Raw genomic sequence first — 19,188 nt, forward strand, 5'->3', positions numbered from 1 at the left:
TGAGCCAGGGCTTGCACACAAGTTTGAAGTCAGAACATGTCAGTATGTCCAAGATGAGAATTTGGCTTAAAATCTAGAAATCTACAGAAATGAGTGAGGGTATGGCAGGCCATGGATTCATAATAAAAAATGATGATATAGTATCCTTAGTTCAAATATTGTGTAAAATATAATTGATATGTAACATCAAAAACATTAAAATAACATCAGAACCACATTTTTAAAAATCACCCAATTTCACCAAAATTATACACATTTATCTTTTGGCTCAGCAATTCCACTTCTAGGAAATTATCCTAAAGAAATATTCATGCAACTGTACATAATGTTTACATTTAACATTGTTGATAAAAGCAAAAGATAAAATGGAAACAACCCAAATATCCATCTAAGTGTTTGTTTGCTTACATATTCCCCTATTATCCACACATACAGTAGAATAATAGCCAGATATTAAAACAGAGATAGATTTATGAACACTGGCATGAAAAGAGGTCCTAAATATATTTTAGGCTGGGTGCAGTGGCTCCCACCTTTAATCCCAACACTTTAGGAGGCTGAAGCAGGAGGTCACTTGAGACCAGGAGTTTGAAACTAGCCTGGGCAATATGGCGAAACTACATCTCTACAAAAAAATACAAAAATTAGCCAGGTGTGGTGGCACATACCTATAGTCCTAGCTACTTGGGAGGCTGAGAGGAGGGAGGATCGCTTGAGCCCCAGAGGCGGAGGCTGCAGTGACACATGATTGAGCCACTGCACTCCAGTCCAGGTGACAGAGTGAGATCCTGTCTCAAAAAAATATGTGTGTGTGTGTGTGTGTGTGTATATATATATATATATATATATATACTTTTTTTAAAAAGAAAGTTTCAGAACAGTATATACAGCATGATTTCTTTAAAATATCAGTCACACAGGTAAAATCATATATATAATAAAATTTATTTCATTTTATTTTATTTTATTTTTAGAGATAGGGTCTTGCTCTGTCAGGCGGGAGTGCAGTGGTGCAATCATAGCTGACTGTAGCCATGAATTCCTGGGTTCGAGCCATCTTCCTGCCTCAGCCTCCAGAGCAGCTGGAACTAGAGGCACGCACCACCTCGCTCAGCTAATTTTTTTTTTTTTTGCAGGAACAAGGTTTTTACTATGTTGCCCAGGCTTAAAATTTTTTGTAAAATATATTTTAAAAAAGAATTATCACCTGACCTGGAGTGAAAATCACCTGGAGTGAATGTTAAAAAAGTGCATATTCCTACACTTCAAACTAGATCTACTGAATCACAATCTCTGATGATAGGACCCAAGAGTCTGCATAACAATCATCTCATATGACTTTTATGCCCAATAAAGATTGAGAATTATTGGATTAATATGATACTTAACAGTGGCCACTTCCAGAAAATGGGACTTGGAGGGCAACGAGGGCTTTCCCTTTCATTTTACTTTATACACTTTTTGTTTTAAAATTTTATTTTTTATTTTTTGAGACAGGGTTTCACTCTATCACCCAGGCTGTAGTGTAATGGTGGGATCACAGCTCACTGCAGCCTCAAACTCCTGGGTTCAAAAAACTCTCCCGCCTCAGCCTCCAAAGGACTAGGATTACAGGCATGAGCCACCGTGCCAGCCTAAAATTTTTATAAACATTTATTACATATACACTAATCTATATCTACTAGAGATTTTTGAGGTTCAAATGATTGAAACATTAAATATTGATTGTCTGGGTCATATTAATGAGAAAATCTATTACCAATTGAGCTTATTCAGAAAGAGAAAAGATGAGCCAGGCACAGTGGCTCATGCCTCTAATCCCAGAACTTTGGGAGGCTGAGGTGGGCGGATCACTTGAGGTCGGGAGTTCAAGACCAGCTTGGCCAACATGGTAAAACCCCGTCGTCTACTAAAAATACAAAACTTAGCTGGGTGTGGTGGCACATGCCTGCAATCCCAGCTACTCAGATGGCTGAGGCGTGAGAATCTCGATTCTTGTGAATTGCTTAAACCTAGAAGGCAGAGGTTGCAGTGAGCCGAGATCATGCCACTGCACTCCAGCCTGGGCGACAGTGAGGCTCCATCTCAAAAAAAGAAAAAAAACAAACAAACAGAGAGAAAAGACTACCTAAGGCTATAAATTTGGCAACATATAACAAATTATTAAACTTTTCCTTCATTCATTCAACAAATATTTGCTGAGCAGCTGTGTTCCAGGTACCCTTCTATGTGCCAAAGATAGAGTGAAGAATTTTAGGCAAGATTTCTACCCTTGAGGAGGTTACTTTAGAGTTGGGGAGGAAAGACAGATTGAGAAAAGTGGGGGTAAGGTGAGGGACAAGGAAAGGCTTTTTCCAGGAGTGATTTTTGACTGAGACCTGGAAGATGAATCAGTCACATGAAAAGATGAGCAAGAGCAGCCATCCTGATCAGAGATCTTGACTGATTTAAGGGACAGAAAGGAGTTCTGCGAAAATGGAGCAGAGTGAGAGGAGAGCAGCACCAGACGAGGCTGCCGAGGAAGCCAGAGCTAGATCGCGTACAGTTTTGTAAAGAATTCAGATTTTATTCTGGGAAGCCAGCGATAGGTATTAAGAAAAAAATGATATTATCTCTTTTGCATGATCTAAGTGATCAGCAGCCTTTCACCTGGTATTTTCACTTAGCTGAATGTGAATACAAATGTCTGGTTTGAAACTCCTGAGCTCAACGGATCTTCCTATCTAGGCCTCCCAAAATGCTGGGATTACAGGCATGAGCCACAGCACCTGGCCTGGGTTATATTTTATAGGATGGTTTACTTTTATAAAACAAATTACAGGCCAGGCGCGTTGGCTCACGCCTGTAATCCCAGTGCTCTGGGGGGCTGAGGCGGGTGGATCATCTGGGGTCGGAAGTTTGAGACCAGCCTGACCAACATGGTGAAACCCCATCTCTACTAAAAATACAGAAATTAGCCGGGTGTAGTGGCAGGTGCCTGTAATCCCAGCTACTCGGGAGGCTGAGGCAGGAGAATTGCTTGAACCCGGGAGGCAGAGGTTGCAGTGAGCCGAGATTGCACCATTGCACTCCAGCCTGGGCGACAGAGTGAGATTTCATCTCAAAAAAAAAAAATTATAAATATCAAGGCACTATCACATTTTATTTCATTTGTCCTCACAAAAACTTTCTGTGATTGAGAGAATGTAAGTTATTATTCCAGGTTGATCAAAGAGGTAACTGAGATACTGAGCAGTTTAAGAAGTTAACTCATTGAACAAATGTCTGAGTGCAGACTATATAATCCTAATAAAAACAGTAGTTCTTAGTAGGGTATATATCTTAGTGATTAATTAGTAGTTACTAATTCAGGATCTTATTAGTAGTAGTTCTAGTTAGGATTATATATCTTGTTAATGTCTCAGCCAGAGTTAGAATATTTGATCCAGGATGTTGATGGAAACATAGCCACATTGCATGTATTTATGGCTGCTCTTTAGGAAGCCACTAGCATACAAAGCCCATAATGAAAGTCTTGGTAAATACATATGCTGATGTGTACCAAAAAAAGTAAGCCTTTTGGGTATGTCTTATAAAGGAAAGGTTTTGTGTTTGTTAAGTGTTATGTCATACATTTTTATGGAGCAAAACAATGTACATATTTTAAAAATACCTTTTATATGGATTAAAGGTTAAGATTAACCATATAAACCACAGAGTGTAAGGTATGTGTCAGCAACCACGATACAAAATAATATTTTATTGGCTGGACGTGTTGGCTCACGTAATCTCAACACTTTGGGAGGCTGAGGCGGGAGGATCATGAGGTCAGGAGATCGAGACCATCCTGGCTAACACGGTGAAACCTCGTCTCTATTTTAAAAATACAAAAAATTAGCTGGGCGTAGTGGCACACGCCTGTAGTCCCAACTACTTGGGAGGCTGAGGCAGGAGAATAACTTGAACCTGGGAGGTGGAGGTGGCAGTGAGCTGAGATCATGCCACTGCACTCTAGCCTAGGCACGACAGAGTTAGACTTCGTCTCTAATAATAATAATAATAATATTTTATGAAACAATGTTAACTTTGAGCTGTATAGCTTGATTTCTTTGCATTCTTTATAAAGTATAAATAAAATATAAATAGATGTTTTATACCTCAGTTGCAGAGACATCAGAAAATGAATTCTAGACAGGAGCTTGAAGAGTTCAGATAAAACTCCCAAAATTATAGAAAAAATAAAAACTAAACCCTGATTTGGTCAAATTTCACTTGAAACCGGGGTACTCAAGTGTGTCATTTCTGGAATGTAAAAGAAGTTATTTTCCACATTGTCTATCCAGTGTGGTTTTTTTTCCATAGAAATTATATGCACTTTAGAATGGATTCAATAGAATTGTTCTTTTGACAGGTATACCTTCAATATGTTCAAGCTACAGATGAAGCCAGTCTTTTAACAGTTTTTTAAGGACCTACATGATTACTTACATTAGATAGAAAACTCTAGGCACACATATATCCACATAAGCATTGATGTATATATCCAGTTTCCAATTTTAAAATTTTAAATTGTATATTTGTAGTTATTGTTACAGGGAGATTATCAATGACTAGGGAAGGCCGGGCGCAGTGGCTCATGCCTGTAATCTCAGCACTCTGGGTGGTGGAGGCGGGTGGATTACCTGAGGTCAGGAGTTTGAGACCAGCCTGGCCAACATGGTGAAACCCCGTCTCTACTAAAAATACAAAAATTAGCCAGGCGTGGTGGCGCGGGCCTGTAATCCCACCTACTCGGAAGGCTGAGGCGTGAGAATCGCTTGAACACAGGAGGCAGAGATTGCAGTGAGCGGAGATCGCGCCACTGCACTCCAGCCTGAGCGACAGAGCAAGACTCCCCCTCAAAAACAAACAAAACAAAACAACAACAACAAAAAACAATGACTAGGGAAAGTAGGCCATGAAAAGTGTTGTTTCCAACCTATCAATTGCCAGTACTACAAGCAGGAGTTAGACGTTTGGAGGTTTTCACACGGTGCTATAAATACAGTTTCCAGGGCCCCGGTACACGTGGCCTTCCTGCTCTGCCAGGATGGAGAGTCTTGCTTTCCACATTGCTGATGTGGTCAGACTAATTAAATTATTGCAAAAAGACACATTCCCTAGTCAACCTTATGTGTCTGCCTTCTTCCCTTGAGTCACAGTTGTTGGCTTTACAGGCCAAGGCAAGTAAGTCTTGAACCCTCAGCAGAAACAGGGCACCAGCATCGGATGCCTCATAACCTGAACAGTTAAGGACGCCCCACCACAGAGCTTCTTTCTGAGTGTGATAAACTATAAGGCAAGACTGTAAAGGGGTGGATCTTCATTTCGATTTAGGGTAGGTGACACCTCAAGGGTGTTTCTTCCCTTCCAGCGTAACTGGATGGGAAACCTACACCAAGTGTGCTTGGGAGGGCTGCTTGGGTCAGCTACCTGTAAGTGGAAATAGGGGGTGCCACCTTCCGATGAAAACCCGGATCCCGTACTGTCAACGGAGGGCCCTTGAATTCACATCCCTCAGCCCGCTAGAAAGCCCCTGAAACCACGTGGCCTTTAACCCATTCCGGCAACAGCGCCAATTCCCGGAAGCGAGAGGGCAAGAAAGCTCGGCGCGACGCTTCCCGCGTCTTCTAGGCCGCGCGCTGAAATCAAACGCGACGCCGGCTAGCTGTGGGCCGGGCCGAGCGCTCAACGCTCCAGCGGCTGGGTAAGCCGCGGCCGCCGCCCACCCCGCTGCAGAGCTGGGCGGGGCCGCCTGGAGGCAGCGGGGAGAGGCCAGCCGAAAAGGAAGAAGAGACGCCGGAGGCGCGCTCTGCGCAGGCGCGCGGCGCCCCGCCTCCCCAGCGTCGGCTCCCCGGCGGGCGGTGCGGGCCCTCCCACTCTACCCCGCGCCGTCTCACGGCCCCGGCCCTAGCTTCACCCCGACTACCCGGCGTGCGCGTCCTCCTGCCGGCCTGCAGGCCCGGGGCCTCCGCCTGCTTCCCCACAGCTGCTCCTTGCGGCCCCGCTTGCGTTCACGCTGTCGCCCGGGCCGGCGCGGCCGCGGGCAACCGCTCCCCCTCCCACACCTACCCCGCCCCCTCCCCGCCTTTTCCGCCCTCCGGTCCCCCTCCCTCGGCCCGCTGCTGCTGCTCCAGATGAGGTGATGGCAACGGCCAACTTCGGCAAGATCCAGATCGGGATTTACGTGGAGATCAAGCGCAGCGATGGTGAGCCGCGCTGCCAGCCCCGCTGGCCCGCTCGGCCCCGTGTTCGGGTGTGCACGGAGGGGACGCGGGCGCCGGCCGCCTCATTGATTGCTTCGCCGGGCTGTGGGGGTGGGAAGGCGGCGGCCGCGGCGCTTTTGTGTGTGGCGTGTGTGCCAGTGAGGCCGGCTTGGGGTCCGCCCGGGCGCTGCTGCAGTTCTCCGGATCGGGCCGCGGGGGAGGGAAGCCGGGTGGGGAAAGGGCCCGGGTGTCGAGGGTCGCGTCTCCGGGGGTCTCTGGGCGAGGGCCGCTCGCTCCTCCTCCCGCAATCTCCAGCCCCCCCCCGGGGACACCAGCCCGGGAGGGAGCGGGCTTCGTTAGGGATGACCCTGCCTCGCGCTTCCCCTTGGTCTTTGCATTTTACCGGCTTGGCCTCTGACGGGGATGGGGATGGGGGTGGGGGAGCGGGAAGACCAGCGATTTCACATTTAGAGAACCGACTGCTGGTCGGAGGCCGAGATGGGGGGAAAGAGCCAGTTCCGTCGCCTTAAACTGCCGTCTGGTTGTCAGGCCTCCCCGGTTTCGTCGTCGACCATGCTGCTTTCTTTTTTGCCACTTCTTGGGAGAAAAATGTGGAGAATATCGCGCTGAGCCATGAATAAGGGTGGGGGAGCAATGGGAAGAAATATTCGATGGGCTTCTCCAAGGTGATGAGACTGTAAAGGGAATGATAGGGGATGGGCAGAGTCAATGCGAGGCACTGCTGAGAGAGTGGGGGTGGGCGACCGGATGTTGATATTTTCACACCCTCGGGAGAGGTAACTGAGAAAAGTGTAAGGCGAGGTGAAGACACATGCTTCATTTTTTTTTTTAAGAGCCTTAGGCTTATGTATCTTTCTCTAGGTTTCTCTTGGGGAAAATGGTTTATGACACTAGCTTGGGGTGTGGAGTGAGATACGCCAGCCAGACTGGAAATAATTCATATTGTAAAGGAATAAATGCACGGAGGGAGATAAGTAAAATTATTTTCTTTCGGTACCAATATTGAAAGAACGAGAGATGTGTGATAATCTCGAGTTGAGCAGTGTTCCTGACTCCATCTCTCATACCGATTCCTTTTTTTTTTTTTTTGAGACGGATTTTCACCCAGGCTGGAGTGCAGTGGTGCGATCTCGGCCCACTGCAACCTCCGCCTCCCGTGTTGAAGCTATTCTTGTGCCTCAGCCTCCTGAGTAGCTGGGATTACAGGCGTTGTCACCACACCCAGCTAATTTTTTGTATTTTTAGTAGAGACGGGGTTTCACCATGTTGACAAGGCTGGTCTCGAACTCCTGACCTCAAGTGATCCACCTGCCTCGGCCTCCCAATGTGCTGGGATTACAGGCGTGAGCCATCGCGCCTGGCCTCGATTCCTTTTATGAGTGCCTTATTTATTAACCTTTAGCCTAGCCTAGTCAGTAGTAACTTGGCTGTCACGTCCACGTGCCCCTTGGATTCTGCCAGGTTTGACCAAGTTACGTGAAGCTAGATTGATTTTCATGTTGTGTGTATGATATATTGGAAGACCCTATATAGCTAATGATTTTTTCCTCCGTTATATTTGAAGTAATTTGTGGTAACAACTGAAACCATCGTTATCCTGTATATGAAAAGATAAATTATACCGCTTAGAGCTTTAGAAATTACCAATAACACTAATGGGAAAGAGATACCTTCTTTACTTGGGTTGAGGTTTCTTTTATATTTTCTCTTCAGATTACTTTCTTGAAAGAGTGCTGTTAATGTCATTTTTTTAGGTAAATACGAGTTCACAGTATACCAGCAAAAGTAGGATTTACATATTATTTTGAAGATTCTGGGTGCACAGCAACACCTGTCCCTGGTATACACCCAAGGGAGAGGAAATCACCACCTTGTGAAGATATCTGCACTCTCGCGTTCATTGCAGCATTATTCACAGTAGCCAAGATAGGGAAGCAACCTAAATGTCCATCGATGGGTGAGGAATGGCTAAAGAAATTATGTGTGTGTGTATACGTTTATGTGTGTGTATAGACAATGTACAATGGAACATTATTCAGCCTTAAAAAAGGAGATCCTACTGTTTACCACAACATAGATGGACCTGAAGGACGTTATGTTAAATGAGATAAGCCAGACACCAAGGAAAATATTGCATAATCTCACTCATATGTAGAATATTTTTTTAAGGAGCTAAAATACACAGAACGAAACAGTGGTTACTACTGGTGGTGGGGAAGGAGAGGAAATGGGGAGATATAGGTCAAGGATACAAAATAGCAGATATGTAGGATGAACAAGTTTAGAGATACAGGGGGACCAATGTTAGTAAAATTGTATTAGAGATTTTTGTTAAATAAGTGGATTTTAGCAGCTCTTGTTAAAGTATGTGAAATGATAGCTATATTAATCTGCTTCACCATTTTGCTGTCTATATTCCATAGCATCATGTTGTAAACCTCAGTTGCACAATGAAATTTATTTTTTAAAAAATTAGGGTGCAATAAAATGTGTAAATTCTTTACACTCATAAGTATGAGTATAGGTGTTAACTTTGAAATCGTATCAGAAAAAGTATATGATATTTGATTTATACATTTTAATTTCTACGGAGCATATTTTATTTAAATTTATTGAACTTGAAGCAATTTTCGTTCTTTTCAGCCTTCACCTTCAGCCTATACCAGAAGTTCCCAGACATACAAGAGCTTTGTGTTCTTACATAAGTGCTACTAACCTAAAGCCACATTTCAAAAGCGGTTTGCCTATAAGAAATTAGGGAAGTCATCACAGTGTGTTATTATCCTAACCTATGGTCATGTATCTTTTTATGTGCCTCAGATGCATGATGGAGTTGGTGGAAGGCAGGAGATTAGTAGAGAACTTCGAAAGAACAGAAGGATCATTTGCATTGGACAGTAGTGTTTCACAATAGAAATTGATGTCTGGGAGAATGCCCCTCAAGCTTTCCCTTTTTCACTTTAAAGAAGCTTGTTTGCTTCCTCTCACTTCCATAACGTCTATATTGGATAAAACACTAGTGGTTATTATAACAAAAATAAACTTTGCAGTTGGAGGAACACTAATATCTGAGACAGTAGAAATGACATGAGTAAAGAAGGGCTGCTTCAGACCATTATTAACTGGTGACTTGATGTTTTTCTTTTGGCTTGCTGATGGCGATCCATGTCCCTATTTCAGACCACACTTTTCCCATCAGTGATACTCTTACACTAATAAACATATCCCAAGGGCAAACAGGTACACTAAAATGAGCTTATTCCTATCTTTCAAGACCATGATGAAAACTATCCTAATGAGTCTTCACTGATTACTAAAACCAGATGGCCAGTCAGCATCTGAATTCCTAAATCATTCTGTATTATTCATGAGACAGCATATTTCCTTAAGTATTAATGTTTGGGTCTGTAACTTTTTTTTTTCCACTCCTCTCAGCTCATACCTATGGGTACATATTCTTAATACTATGTTTTTAAACTGCATGGGGTAATGGGACTTACTAATAACTAATAATTCTTTTTTTTTTTTTTTTTGAGACAGAGTCTCGCTCTGTCAGTGGTGCGATCTCCGCTCACTACAACCTCTGCCTCCCAGGTTCAAGCGATTCTTATGCCTCAGCCTCCCAAGTAGCTGGGACTACAGGTGTGTGCCACCATGCCCGGCTAATTTTTGTATTTTTAGTAGTGACAGGTTTTTGCCACGTTGGCCAGGCTGGTCTCGAACTCCTGGCCTCAAGTGATCCACCCACCTCAGCCTCCCAAAGTACTGGGATTACAGGTGTGAACCACTGTGCCCAGCCTCTAATGACTCTTAAATTCCCTGAATGCATCTGTGTCATTACCCCCATTCCCACCCCCACTACTGGGATGTCTAGCAAAATTCCTTGCACATCGTTTTTGAATAAATCATACATTATTGGATTTTTTGTTTTCAAACATTTTAATTAATCATTAGAATGACATCTTAGCTGGAAGTGAAACCTTCCATCTGTGCTCCTCTGTACTGCTACCTCCCTACTCTGGCCCTCTACTTCCCGCTGGCCTGTTAGTCAGGAACTACAGCGTTAATTGAAATTGAGTGATCTGCTAAGGTTAATCTGACTTTTCTGGTTTTCTAAGGTTATCAGTGACAGGGGTTAGGCTTGGACTGCTAAGATTATTCTCTGCCACAGGAGATAACCTGGTATGAAATTGGACTGGTGTGTTTTCTTACATGTGTCTTCCTATTTTTCTGATTCAATTCCTTTCCCTTTTTAAAACCCACTGACTCTTAAAAAAACCTACAATCTTTCTGTCGTGTAGCTAGTTTGGTTTTTTTTTTCTTTTAGCTGTGCTGTTAACAGTTCTGTAGTAGCTGTGACTACCCTTTGGGGACTGGGGAAGAAATGGGAAATGTTGAACATTTGGAAGCTGCAGCTAATATGGGATTGTTCTTTGGGGGCGGGTCTCTTAGTCACAGTACTGTGACTGTATTGATACATGTAATCTGAAGAGAATCTTAGAATATTTCCACCAGAAAGGTTTTTGGAGATAAACTAGTTTTCATTTTTATAAATGTGGAAACTTGAGTCCCAGATCACCATAAGTGACTTATCTAGATTCATACAACTTGTCAATGGCAGCCAGGAACCTGACATGCTTAGCATAGAAATCAGACTATCAAGAACTATGACAGTAAAGGAGGAATTCTCTGTTATTTTGGAACCGTATACCGCTTTTTACAGCCCAGTCAAGATGTAGGAAATTGCTTCTTACTTCGGAGAAAGGCACCAGCGAGCAGTGTTACAGAGCTTGATTAGAATGATCCCTGGTAAGAAGTGCTATGTTACTACAAGTTCACCAAACCTAAAATTGTGGGAGGAAAGTATTCTTGTTTCTTAGTTAAGTATTGGTGTAAAGAGTTCCTTTTAACATCTGAAATCAAGAGGCAATTGAAGATTTCAAAGGACCCATCAGGAATTTTGGAGTTCAGGGCAGGCAAAGAAAATCTTTAGAAAAGATTTTAAATGGCCTAATTCTTTATATGCTTTGCCACATTTTTCTTCTGCTAGTTCATCTTTACACGTCACTATATAGGCTTCTGGAGAATAGCATGTGTAAATTTAAGTAATAAAGATGAACCATGTGGCAATACAGTTGTTCTTTAGGTACAATTATGTGATTGATTATGGGGGTGGGATGGAATAGGGGCATTTGTGACCTAATAGTTCCCTTTTCCCTGAGGACTAGGACGATAATGTTTCTGTATATGGATTTGTTAGGGCTTAATAGTTTTCCAAGTGCTTCAAGACATGTTAGCTAATTGGATCTTCACAGGAACTCTATGAGGTAAGCAGGATAGAAAGGTGGCAGATTATTGGTTTATAGGTGAAGAATCTGAGGTTGGATTATTTGCCAAGATCACATGGTTAATAAGGAGCATAGCCTGGGCCAAAGCCCGAATCCCTTCACTCCCAGCTCTCTAAGTGCTGCTGACAGATGTTTGCTGATTATGGTGTGAAGTTGTATACTTTAGTATTTCTTTCTGAGACATACAAACCCCTGTAGTAAAATTCTTTCCACTACTACCAAAGAAGCTCAAAAAACTTAAAATAGGCACTTATTGCTTCCAAAAGTACCACAGAAAGCCAGGAATCTGTATTCATTGCCTAGCCACTTGATTCTTATGACAAAGATTTTGAAACTCTGGGGAAAGGCTATGTGTCAACTTGTTTTATGTGTCATGATTGTTAAAATGCTAGAGAAAACAGCAAAGAGCCAGTTAAATCTGTGTCTGCTCAAATAAGACAAGGGGCAAGAGTGTGGAAAATCCAGAACAAGATTCCCTGAGAGATCATCTAGACCCCGTTCTTTCTAGTCAGAAGTATAGTTGTGATTAATATGACATTAATCTTTTGCAAAGTTTAATTCTTGGATTCAGCCATCTGCTTTAATTTTAACACATCTGTTTTGTAACCTAAAATAATTTTAAGGTGTTTGTTTATTTGTTTGTTTGTTTTGAGATTACGATTCTTAAGAATAGATACAAGTTTTAAACCTTGGATAAAACTAATTTTTATTCTTCTGGTTCAGTTGTAGAACAAATACAGGTTAAGTTGTCTTCCAGCTCTTTTAGATAAAGCAATATTAGTGGTTTTATAGTGCTAAGTGAAAAGAGACATTAGAATTTCACCATATTAAACTATCTCCCAAGAGTAATATGAGTGAGGGAAGTGTTCCTTTTAAAAGTCATGCTTCTAGGCTGAGCATGGTAGTTCATGCCTGTAATTCCAGCACTTTGGAGGCCAAAGCAGGAGAATTGCTTGAGCCTATGAGTTTGAGGTTATAGTGCACTATGATATCATTACCCACTACAATAAAACACGAAGTTCAGATGGTCATTCACTAGGGTGTGTGATATTTTGGAGTATAGACCTTAAGTGATTATGACATATCAAAATAATGTGGTCTTATGTTTCTTTTTTTTTTATTGCAGATTTCATTGAATATACTTCTATTAACAGCCTGCTATATATCAGGCATTCTGATAGGTGTTGGAGATACAAAAAATGAATAAAGCAAAAATAGTTCCTGCCCTCACAAACAAGTAAATAAGTGATTCATCTATAGTGTGATTAGTACTGATAGAAATATGCCATTTTGTGTGTACATTATTACTACCTTCCTTTTGAAGATTAGGCTTTTTTGTTAGACTCTTGAAGTTATGGACCTTTTGGATGGAAAATACATGTCATATATGCCATCTCTCCTCCTCTATGACCAATATCCGTGATCCCTCATAGCATTCCTGATGAATTTAGCCTCAGAGTTTTTTTTGAGAGGGAGTCTCGCTCTTGTTGCTCAGGCTGGAGTGCAGTGGCGTGATCTCGGCTCACTGCAACCTCTGCCTCTTGGGTTCAAGCGATTCTCCTGCCTCAGCCTCCTAAGTAGCTGGGATTATAGGCATGCGCCAACATGCCCGGCTAATTTTTTTGTATTTTTAGTAGAGATGGGGTTTCACCATGTTGGCCAGGCTGGTCTTGAACTCCTGAGCTCGTGGTCCACCCACCTCAGCCTCCCAAAATGCTGGGATTACAGGCTTGAGCCACTGCGCCCGGCCAGCCTCAGAGTTCTTAATACAGCATTATCAGCCCTAATAGCCCTAGTCTGCCAATTGAAATTGGCATTGTCATTATTAGCCTATTTCCTATACTCTAGTACCTATTTGAGTTATAAGTTTATAACTTTTAAATTGTTTTGGTATCAAAAGGAATTTTTTTTTAGGGTTTTGCTCTGTCACCCAGGCTGGAGTGCAGTGGCATGATCATAGCTCACTGCAGCCTCCAAGTCCTGGACTCAAGCAATCCTCTCACCTTAACTTCCCAAGTAGCTAGGACTACAGGTATGCACAACCATGCCTAGCTAATTTTTGTATTGTTTGTAGAGATGGGGTCTTGCTATGTTGACTAGGCTGGTCTTGAACTCCTGGCCTCAAGCAATTCTCCCTCTTTGGCCTCCCAAAGTACTGGGATTACAGGTGTGAGCCACCATACCTGGTCAAATTTATTCAATTTAAAGTTTTTGGCAGACCAGCACCTGACAGCAGGTTTCTCTCTAGATATCCTGGGTTTGGGTACTTGTAAATAGAGACTGGCTCGGTGTGGTGTCTCATGCCTGTAATCCCAGCACTTTGGGAGGCCTAGGCAGGAGGATTGCTTGAAGCCAGGAGTTGGATACCAGCCTGGGCAACATGATGAGGCTCTATTTCTACAAAAAATAAAATTAGCCAGGCCTGGTAGCATGTGACTGTAGCCCCAGCTACTCAGGAGGATGAAGTGGGAGGACTGGTTGAGCCCAGGAGTTGGAGGCTGCAGTGAGCTATGATCATGCCACTGCACTCCAGCCTGGGTGACAGAACAAGTCACTGTCTCAAAACAAACAAACAGAGACCAAGGAAGCAGAGCATGGGAAACAGCAGTGGATGCAGCTACTGGTGGTTATGTGTAATTTGGATATAAACTCCTTACACATTATGGCCCGGGAACTGTAAGAATCAGGTTCCTCCCTGGGCTATGTTTTATTTACTTTTGAAGACTTTTTCTCCAGGTTTTTGTAGGTTTTGGCATTAATTTTGACCACATTTTACCTAAAGGAAGGACAAGATCAGCAGGGAACAAACTTGTGGTAAAATTTGCTGAGTGTCTATACTGTGCTGAGAATGAACTGTTTTTTTTTTTTTTTTTTTTTTAAGATGGAGTCTCACTCTGTCACCCAGGCTGTAGTGCAGTGGCACGATCTTGGCTCGCTGCAACCTCCGCCTCCTGGGTTCAAGTGATTCTCCTGCCTCAGCCTCCCCAGTAGCTGAGATTATAGGCACGTGCCACCATCCCCAGCTAATTTTTGTATTTTTAGTAGAGACAGGGTTTCACCATGTTGGCCAGGCTGGTCTTAAACTCCTGACCTCAAGTGATCCACCTGCCTCAGCCTCCCAAAGTGTTGGGATTATAGGTGTGAGCCACTACACCCGGCCTTATGCCCGCATTTTGACCGCAACCCATCACAGGGTCGTGTGTGGAATTTTCCACTATGGTGTCATGTTGGTGCTCAAAAAGTTTCAGATTTTGGAGCATTTTGGATTAAAGAATGCTCAGCCTGTGGTGGTTTATAACTCTGGCTGCTCAATAGATCACCTGTGGGGCTGTGGAAAAAAACAGACCAAAAAAAAAAAAAAAAAAAAAAGCAACCCACCACAGCCAATATCTGGTTCCTTTGCCTAGAGATTCTGTCTGGTATGTAGTCTAGGTATCAGTATTTTACTTTAAGGCACCTAACATACTGATGAAGCTTAACTTGTCACACATTAGTGATTCCAGGGTATAGCCAGGGTTGTGATCCATTATTTTAGTAAAAGTAGTATCTCCTAACAGAGTATCTGACAAGACTTCTTGGAGAGTGAAGTTTAAATGGTGAGAGGAAGATGACCAGTCGGTTGCCCTGAGGGCAAGGAGGCATTCTAGCCATGTAGGCAGCATGGAAGAAGTCCCTGACTGGAAACAAAGCTGTCAGGTGAAGGGCATTTAAAACAGGCAGAGGGAGGATGATGAAGAAGATAAGGGAGGAGGGGTAATCTGGGGCACCTTATTAAAGACCTGGAAACAGAGGTAAGGTAAGGATCTTGGAATTAATTTCTAGGACACTTGGAAACTACTATAGGACTTAATCTCCTAAGAGCAGTAATAGGAGTTAGTGATTAGTGATAGATTAGAGGGAGCATAGTACTGAAAATGAGAGGTAGCATGGATAAGATTGCATCAGTCTAGGAGGGTGAGCAATGATTAAGGAACAGATGATATGCAGAACACACAGCAAGAAGAATTGATGTTATATTGCAATATATCCCTTGTGCTGAATAAAGGGCAGATGAGTTGAAAGGAAAGGACTTAACATTTGCAAAGTCTGAGTATAGCTTTTAAATCTCTTCAGTTTTATTTAATCAGGCTAACGCTGTTCAAGAATACAGTGTAGAGGACTGTAGAGCCTATCAAGGTAATATCAAAGAGAGCATCCAACTCAGGCTGCATATAGTTTTTGCCACTAATATCCTAAAAGTAATTGAGTTTAAGGTATAAATCACTTCCATTACATGTTTACCTGCAATGGGAATTTGCTTAAGCTATAACTAAGTACTTTGCCTTCTTAGTACTGAGCTGTAGTGTGTTAGCCAGGACCCTCTCAGAATTCTTGGAACGGAATGAGAAGGAAAAGCAGTACACAAAGAATATGACGTCATCTCTTTAAGGGATGAGGTGTTTTATTTCTTGAAATGCAGCTGCTCTTTTTTACTTTTTCTTTGCTCTTACTTTTGGCCTATTTTTTCTGTCCTGGCATTTGCCTTCTCTTTTTCACCCTTAGGATTCTAAGTGCCATTTCAGTATTCAGAATCTCTTAACTACAGTTTGCAATTTAGGACTTAAAAAGAGGTAAGCAAGGGATAAATAGGCACAGCACAGAGGCAGTGAAATTATTCTGTATGATACTATAAAGGTGGATACATGTCATGATACATATGCCAAATTCATAGAAGGTACAATACCAAGAGTCAACCCTAATGTAAACTAGGGACTTTGGGTGATAATGGTGTGTCAAGATAGGTTCATCAATTGTAACAAGTGTACCTGGTGCAGGGCATTGATAGCGCGGAGGGTGTGTGGGGTTAAGAATTGTACGGGAAATCTCTGTACCTTCCACTCAATTTTGCTGTGAACCTAAAAAAGGTTGGGGAGGAGAGGATGCAAACTTTAGGTGTTAAAAGTTAAAACCACTCTTGAAATAATGGACCAATTAATGACAAAAAAATTATAATTTATGAATGAGGATTAGTCATATAGGTGTACAATTAAGGTAAAATTTTGCCATTCATTTTTGTCATGCATAGTCTATTGGCCAATGTTAGAAGAAAAATTTTTCAATGAGCTATAGTATAGTAAAAAGGATTCACATATGTATGGCAACTTTAGCCCTTTTTTTTTTTTTTGAATCAAAGTTTCACTCTTGTTGCCCAGCTGGAGTGCAGTGGTGCAATATCGGCTCACTGCAACCTCTGCCTCCCGAGTTCAAGCAATTCTCTTGCCTCAGCCTCCCAAGTAGCTGGGATTACAGGCATGCGCCACCGTGCCCAGCTAATTTTGTATTTTTAGTAGAGATGGGGTTTCTCCGTGTTGGTCAGGCTGGTTTCGAACTCCTGGCCTCAGGTCATCCGCCTGTCTTGGCCTCCCAAAGTGCTGGGATTACAGGCGTGAGCCACAGTGCCCAGCCACCTATAAGATTTTTAAGAAATGAGAACAAATTAGGGGCCCTAATTAGTGAGGTACATCTTAGAATTTAACCACAGAAAGCTCTTTGATGAAATACTGCTGTTGGTCAAAACTTGCCTATATTGTTATAATGAGGAAGTTGACTTGTCCAAGGTCATACATAAAATAAGTAGCAAATCTGAGATTAGAACATAGTTTGTCTGCCCCCAAAATCCTCTACATACTAATTCATTGTAGACTGTAATTCATTTTTGTGCCCTATTAATGTTCCGGGCATTGGAAGTCACATAATTAATTTCATAATGCTTTTCTTTTCCTTTCTAGGGTATACTTTTTATTAATCAGGTGTTTTTATTAATCCAACTAATATTTGCTGTATGGCCATCATGTGTCCCTTCATCTGATTTCTTTGAAGAATTAGTTGAAGGACTTTTCTCTAGAAGAAGTTAGTTTGCCAGCTACAACAAAATAATAAGTAGCTATTGCACTCAGTACAAATGCTCTGTGGCTCTGTAATTTGACAAAGACATTCTAGTTTTCTCCAGTCTCTTTTGCTATTGCCTATGTTTAAACTCTCTTGCTCACAAGACTTTAGACAATTTAAACAGGAACAAATGCTATCGTAAGGATGTCTCATATTAGATGAGCAACAATATTGTCAGGAAAATAGTAACAATTATAGCAACTTGCTAAAGTGCTGACATAATAGATTGATTTGGGGGCCTGTCCAAATTTAGTGGACTTTTTTTTTTTTGGAGACAGAGTCTTGGTCTGTCACCAGGCTGGAGTGCAGTGGCGCAATCTCAGCTCACTGCAACCTCCAACTCCCTGGTTCAAGCGATTCCCCTGCCTCAGCCTCCTCAGTAGCTGGGATTACAGGCATGTGCCACCACGCCCAGCTAATTTTTGTATTTTTAGTAGAGATGGGGTTTCACTATGTTGAGCAGGATGGTCTCGATCTGCTGACCTCGTGATCCGCCTGCCTTAGCCTCCCAAAGTGCTGGGATTACAGGCGTGAGCCACTGCGCCCGGCCATAAATTTATTTTTATAAGCCCATTGTTTGAAATTATTTTGGGATTATATATGGGTTGTGTGTTTATTTTTTAAATTATAGCTGATACTGAGAGTTGCCTATAACTTCGCTCTAAGTATATGGTAAGTGCTTTCTTTATATGCTCTTTGGTTGCAGTTTTATTAAGAGTAATAACATTGCTTTTAAGTGTACATGCTGTTTTGGGTTTCCATTAAGAACAATTTCTTAATTAAAAATAAGTAGAGCTTCTTTTCCTTCTATTACTCAGATTTTTTCCTTTTTAATCTTTACAGGTGCTTCTTTCCCCATTCTCTTTAAGTATTGATGTTCTTCAGGGCTTGATCCTACCCCTGCAGTACTTCTCACATAGTATTCTCTTTCTGGGTAAACTAAATGCTTCTCTTTAGCCCACATTGGCTACAGACATGTACTGTTCGTATATGTCATGGATTACTGCATATCTCCATTTGGATATCTCATAAACACTCAAATTCAGCATGTCCAAAATTGAACCCATCACCCCTTCCTCAAGTTTACTTCAGTATTTCTCATTCACTCTATTGCTCCAGTCAGAAACTTGGTTGTCTTCCTTGACTCCTTATTCTTTCTTGACCTTATAGCCTTATTACCATGGTCTCTTAATTTAATGACTCAAGTAACTCTTCCTGCACTTTTTCTGTACCTACCGCTATAACTTTTGGTCATGCTAGCATTATGTCTTGCCTGTGCTGTTGCAACAAATTCCTAATAGGCCTCTCTACCTAGGAGAGTAATTTGGTTAACAACAACAACAACAACAACAACAACAAAAAACCCAAAACAATAATTTGGTTAATTACTGTTTCAGAGTAACCTTTCAGGCATGTAGGTTTGACCCTCTGATCACAGGCTTAAAACTTTGAAAGTGTTCTCTACTTCTGTTGCCCTTTTTATGAAGCCCAAGTCTAACATGGCTTATGGTGGACCCTGAACAAACTAACCTGCCTCTTCAGTCTTATTCTTGCTGCTTATTTGAGGCACACTATACTCCAGACAAGCTGAACTTTCTTGGAACACTCCACTTCTAACTAACCTAGCTAACTGCTGTATCTCCTTTTGATTCCTAGCCTAAGATGGG

At 42.2% G+C, this 19,188-nt stretch overlaps 1 protein-coding gene across 4 annotated transcripts in view, besides 2 other annotated features; it reads left to right on the forward strand.

The window, feature by feature from the left end:
• Positions 5,601-6,630: a silencer, noted in NCBI's record as "silent region_16051". NCBI's record gives its function as "represses an Ori minimal core promoter by ATAC-STARR-seq in GM12878 lymphoblastoid cells {active_cell/tissue: GM12878}" and the evidence as "EXISTENCE:reporter gene assay evidence [ECO:0000049][PMID:35858748]".
• Positions 5,897-19,188, forward strand: part of KIF2A (kinesin family member 2A) — an 84,820-nt gene continuing 71,528 nt past the window's right edge. For 3 of the 4 annotated variants that reach the window (NM_001098511.3, NM_004520.5, NM_001243953.2), the window contains exon 1: positions 5,897-6,227. In NM_001098511.3, coding sequence (NP_001091981.1) covers positions 6,164-6,227 — 64 coding nt within the window. In that variant the 5' untranslated portion in view covers positions 5,897-6,163. Of the gene's footprint in view, positions 6,228-7,999; positions 8,203-19,188 lie in introns of all 4 variants that reach the window. The other variant, NM_001243952.2, reaches the window with a different exon arrangement.
• Positions 14,053-14,554: an enhancer, noted in NCBI's record as "H3K4me1 hESC enhancer chr5:61610189-61610690 (GRCh37/hg19 assembly coordinates)". NCBI's record gives its function as "activates a minimal SCP1, AML or CMV promoter by ChIP-STARR-seq in naive H9 embryonic stem cells {active_cell/tissue: H9 hESC(naive)}" and the evidence as "EXISTENCE:reporter gene assay evidence [ECO:0000049][PMID:30033119]".

Source organism: Homo sapiens, chromosome 5, assembly GCF_000001405.40.
Source record: "Homo sapiens chromosome 5, GRCh38.p14 Primary Assembly".
NCBI lineage: Eukaryota > Metazoa > Chordata > Mammalia > Primates > Hominidae > Homo > Homo sapiens.